Source organism: Homo sapiens, chromosome 8, assembly GCF_000001405.40.
Source record: "Homo sapiens chromosome 8, GRCh38.p14 Primary Assembly".
NCBI lineage: Eukaryota > Metazoa > Chordata > Mammalia > Primates > Hominidae > Homo > Homo sapiens.
The window spans coordinates 102572766-102578765 of record NC_000008.11 but is presented as its reverse complement, the minus strand read 5'-3'; positions in this window follow the sequence as shown (position 1 = coordinate 102578765).

Here is a 6000-nt window from a genome sequence, read left to right as displayed (position 1 = left end):
TGAAAGCCACCTGCCAACCAAGAATACCTGTGCTGGACTTTTTATGTGAGCAAGAATCAAACATTTATTTTTCAAGCCACGGGAAATTTGGGATTTGATTGGTGCAACAGATAGTATTTTCCTAATAAATCCAGGATTGTAGGTTTGAGGCTTGAGAAGCCATGTGAAATGCCTGATGAGTAGGCATAGAGGGAGCACATGCCAATCATGGAACAGCCCACCCTCTGAAGAGCCTCACTGGCCTGGACAGGACACCAGACAAGGGCGACCCACTGCATGTAGCTCCATAGCCAGAGATGGGTAGATGAGGGCAGAGCTGCACACAATGGGTGCAGGCCAAAAGACTTCTTACCCCAAGACCCTTAAACGACCCTAAGAGGAGCATGCCTTGACAAATGCCTGAAATTGGACTTCCCACCGCACACACACAGAACAAGTTTGAAATGGCTGTGGCTTGTACTCCATAAATGCCAATCAAATTTAGTCTCCAAGCCTCCACCCTTCCAAGTTGGTGGGAGGTCAGTTCCAAGCATTATTGGTGCTCCCTCTGCCTCCTCAATGTTGCATGGTACCCAGGAGGCCAACACAGTGCCCCAAATGAGGAAAGGCCTATAATCTTCAATTCAGGAGGAGCAATCAGGGTCCTCTGCAGTCCTGCTATATACTCTGGACCATGTTAAGAACAGGGTCAGGTCCTCTACCTACTTGAGGAAGCCACCAGCCTCAGGAATCTCCCTCTACCCCTTTCTATGGCCCAGGATCCTCTTTGTCCCTCTCAATCACCACCCTTTTCCCCTTGAGCAATTCATACTTCTGAAAAAGCCAGAAGGGCAGGTATATGAGGACGGCTTCTGCTTTCTACTTCAGCAACACAAACCTCCCCGGAGGCAGAGGGTGAGGGTTGTGAAATTCAGGGAGAGCCAAACACAAATGACTATCTCACTGATCCTGTTCCAGGGATAATAATAGCATCAACCTCTGAGGGCTACTGTAAGGATGAGAAAAGAGAAAGCATGCCACACTGACAGTTTCGGCCTGGCATAGAGCTAGTTCTTGGTCATGGTTACCCGTGGAAAACCTTTTCAAGTGGATGACCTTTGTCCTTCCATGTTTCTTCCATCACAAGAAAGAAGTTTCGGGAAAGTTTCAGGCAAGTCCTAGAAAAATTTAAAATTCCTTCCAGTTAGTTACTGTCCTCACCCAATGAAGAAGTGCCACTTAGGGCATGGTGTCTTATGCCTGTAATCCCAGCACTTTGAGAGGCTGAGAAGAGAGGACCTCTTGAGGCCAGGAGGTCGGGGCTGCAGAGAGCTGTGATCACGCCACTGCAATCCAGGTGTGGACGACAGAACGAGACCTTGTCTCAAAACAAACAAACAAACAAACAAAAAACCCCAACCCCCGCACTCCTCACCCCCCTAAAAAAAAACCCAGCGCCACCACCACTCCATGAGAGATGTCATCCAGGAGCAGACATTAGGCTTAGTTTATAAACACTTGGCAAAACTGTGGCGGCCGTAAGGAAGCATCCCTCTCCTCCAACTGCAGGGAGCGGCATTGACCCACTACCCCAGCTGCCCTGCCGAAATCCCTCGCCTGTTCACACCGACGCCATGCCTCCCATAGGCTACTTCCGGCCAATGACAGGGCTCGGCAGGGGTTTGGGAGCGGGCCTATTGTTGGGGGCGTGGCCCCCTCTGACAGGTGTCTGGCTGGAGAACTCCCTGACAGCCGCGCCAACCCTGCCCTAGGCTGCGGGGCCTGCCTTTCCTCCCTCTGTCCTTCACTGGGCATCAGATCTGGCCTGGAGCCACGCTCTCTCAGCGTGTCTTCTGGCTCCCTCCCAGGCTTCTCTCACAGATGTTTCTCCTAATTTCTTGCCTATTTCGTCTTGTCTTGCATCTGCTTCTGGGAAGACCCGGCCAACTCTGCCCTTTCAATGGGCTCATTTTTCATAGCTTGTCATTTAGATAGCAAATATTAGTTCAACTCACTTCCTGTATTTAAGCTGTGAAATGCAACATATAAGGATAAATGTTTTAAGTATAACTGTTAAGACTTCTCCCTAACGGAAAGCGTTAACTCTTGTTTTAACTGCAGTGTAACTTTTTTTTCCCCTGAATCTGGCACCTGCTACCATTCAGGCTGAGCTTTTAAACTCTCAAGTGGCTGTTGAGTTCCGTTATGGCTCTTAATTCTCCCTAGAAACTCTGAACTACTTAGGAACAAAACAGCAGTGGCATTAAAAAAAATACATCAGCAATGTAATGACATTAAAAGGAATCTGGAAGATACAGGAAGATAATTCCCATAATACCATTGTTCTAACACAACAGCTGCCATTTCGGGGGCGCATTCATGTCCATCCCCTCTCACTTCCTGCTCTTTCCAGAACCCCTTTTTTTCTAGAGGGTTATTTGCAGACCTGCCTGTGTTAGGCATGGGCCACCAGCTCTCAGCCCTAGACGCACATCAGAATCACTTAAAAATCACTGAGGGCTGGCCCTGAGCTGGATCTTCTCTAAACTGCATCTTTTCTTCCTTTTTAGAGTCCAGATGCAGAATTGACTTGATCAGACCTGTCAGTACATAGCACCTTACCATCACCAGTGCATTCCTAGTGCCCATCTTTTTATTTTATGTATTATTTTTGACCTCTTCATCCTTCCACTCCCAGCCCCCAGCTATGGGTACCCCACGGGTTTGCGATATGTTCGTTTTTTTTTGAAATGGAGTCTCGTTCTGTCACCCAGGCTGGAGTGCAGTGGCGCAATCTCGGCTCACTGCAACCTCCGCCTCCTGGCTTCAAGGATTCTCCTGCACCAGCCTCCTGAGTAGCTGGGATTATAGGCGCCACCAAGCCCAGCTAATTTTTGTATTTTTAGTAGAGACGGGGTTTCGCCATGTTGGCCAGGCTGGTCTCAAACTCCTGACCTCATGTGATCTGCCCACCTCGGCCTCCGAAAGTGCTGGGATTACAGGCGTGAGCCCCCGTACCCGGCCTGGGATTATGTTCTTAAATGTGAATCAATTCTTATAAATATGTGATGTTTGGGTGTTTGCGTTTTAAATGTACATTCCGTACGTTTCATTGTTTCTTACCTGTTCTCCCTCACACTGTGTTTGAAGATTCTATCTTGATTGAAGCATGAATTCTGCACAGGGTCCTTCACTTCCTACTTTCCATGACCCTGGGGGTGTCTGCCCGTGTGGCCTTTAGCTCTCCTCTAGCTGTGACAGCTCTGTGTTGAGCAACCTCCTGTCCCTTGGGGGCCTGTGAGAAATGTTCGGGGTCGGGGAGGGTTCTAGCAGTCCTCAGTTGATTTGGATGCATAGGCAGGTTGTGGACCACTGGCATCCCTCAACAAGTTTCGTGATCCTTTAAGGGCTACTTCATACTTCTTTTCTACAGGACTGGCTCCTTCCCAACTAAAGTCTGAGATTCTTGGACTCCTTTTTTTTTTTTTTTTTTTTTTTTTTTTTTTTTTTTTGAGACGGAGTCTCGCTCTGTCGCCCAGACTGGAGTGCAGTGGCGCAATCTCAGCTCACTGCAAGCTCCGCCTCCCAGGTTCACGCCATTCTCCTGCCTCAGCCTCCCGAGTAGCTGGGACTACAGGCGCCCGCCACCACGCCTGGCTAATTTTTTGTATTTTTGGTAGAGATGGGGTTTCACCGTTTTAGCCAGGATGGTCTTGATCTCCTGACCTCGTGATCTGCCCACCTCGGCCTCCCAAAGTGCTGGGATTACAGGCGTGAGCCACCGCGCCCGGCCCTTTTTTTTTTTTAACTTTGTAAAAATCTCCTTTCAGCTGGGCGTGGTGGCTCATGCCTGTAATCCCAGCATTTTGGGAGGCCGAGGCAGGCGGCTCACTTGAGGTAAGGAGTTCGAGACCAGCCTGGCCAACATGCTGAAACCCCATCTCTACTAATAACACAAAAATTAGCTGAGCACGGTGGCGCACGCCTGTAATCCCAGCTACTCGGGGGGCTGAGGCAGGAGAATCGCTTGAACCCAGGAAGTAGAAGTTGCAGTGAGCCAAGATCGCGCCATTGCACTCCAGCCTGGGCAACAAGAGCAAAACTCCGTCTCAAAAAAGACCCAAAAAACATAAATCAAACAAAAAAATCTCCCTTCAAGGAACTCAGAAATACTACAGCAGGAGTGATAAATCACATCTTAAACATGACCCTGTATTCGTTTCCTATGTTGCTGTGACCTCAAACTTAGTGGCTTAAAACAACACAAATTATTTTCTTTCAATTCTGGAGGTCGGAAGTCCTAAAATCAAGGTGTCAATGGGACTGAATTCCTTTTGCAGACTCCAGGGGAGCATCCATTTTCTTGCCTCTTTTGGCTCCATGAGGCCACCTGCATTCCTCGTGACCCCTTGGCTGGCACCACTCTAACCTCTGCAAGCAGAGGTTCTTGCCTCTCTACTCTGGAGGTGACCCTTCTGCCTCCCTCTTCTAAGGACTCTGGTGATAATGTTGAGCCCACTTGGATAATCCAGGATAAACTTCCCATCTTAAACAAACATTTTCAACTTGATCACACATGCAAATTTGACTTAATACTTATTGCCATGTAAAACAAGATATCCGTTGGTTCCAAGGGTTAAGACAGGGACATCTTGGGAAAGAGGGACATTATTCTGCCTACCACATGACCTTTGAATTTTTTCATTTCAACTTAATTAGGTTTGTTGTTGTTGTTGTTTTGAGACAGAGCCTCACTCCGTTGCCCAGGCTGGAGGGTAGTGGCACAATCTCGGCTCACTGCAGCCTCTGCCTCCTGTGTTCAAGTGATTCTCATGTCTCAGCCTCCTGAGTAGCTGGGATTACAGGTGCACACCACCACACTTGGCTAATTTTTCTATTTTTACTAGAGATGGGGTTTCACCATGTTGGCCAGGATGCTCTTGATCCTCCTGACTCTGCCTCCCAAAGTGCTGGGATTACAGGTGTAAGCCACACCCCTAGACTTTTTGTCCTTTTTTTTTTTTTTTTTTTTTTTGGTATCCAGCCTTTTATTTGGTTTTTTAAAGTTAAAAAGTAGCACACACTTATTTTGTTACAAACAAAGCAGATATATAAGGAAAAAGTTGATTGATCAGTCCACTCTCCCCTAATAACTCCTTTTGACAAGTAAACAATGTCAAAAGTTTGACTCAGACTGTCTGTCCACGACCATCCTCACACATACAAATCTGGGTGTTTTTGTGTTGTGTGGCTGTTGTTTTACAGAACCAGAATCACACATATCAATCTGCAACTTTTTCCTCTTCATGTATTATGGAATCCCTCCAAACCAATCCATAGGGATCTCACCCATCATATTTATTAGCAAGACAAATATTCCACAGGATGGGTAAACTGAATTGATTCAGCTATTCCCCTACTGGGAGATATTTGGATGGTTTCCCATTTTCCACCCCTTGAAACAAAGCTTCCAAACCCATTCTTTTGCTTGTATTCACCAGATCTCTTATTTCAGAAAGATTCCTTACAGTAGAATGCATCATTCAAAGATATCTCTATGTATTTTAGTAGATAATGCCAGATTATTTTCCAAAATTTTAGTAATTTTTACACTCTTACCAGCAAGAAATGTGTGTTCTCTTTACTGCAGAAATAGCCTCCCAGCCAGAGTGAAATAGTAAAGCTGTTTATAGTCTATGTTAATTTCACATGTGAAAAAAAAGAGTATGCTGTTGTTTTAATTCACATTTCTATGAAGACCTCAGGGGTTAAGGACATTTTTAACGTTTATTGACTTGTATTTCCTCTTCTTTGATTTAATTGCCTGTTTGTATTCTTACCCATTTTTTATTTTATTTTATTATTTTAAGGTATACTTTTTAAAAAAATTTCAGATTTACAGAAAAATTGCAAAGATAGTAGTGTTTCCATATACCCAACACCATTCCCTCTAACAGTATCATCTTACATTAATATGGTACATTTGTTATCATTAATGAGCAAATATTCATGTATTATTAT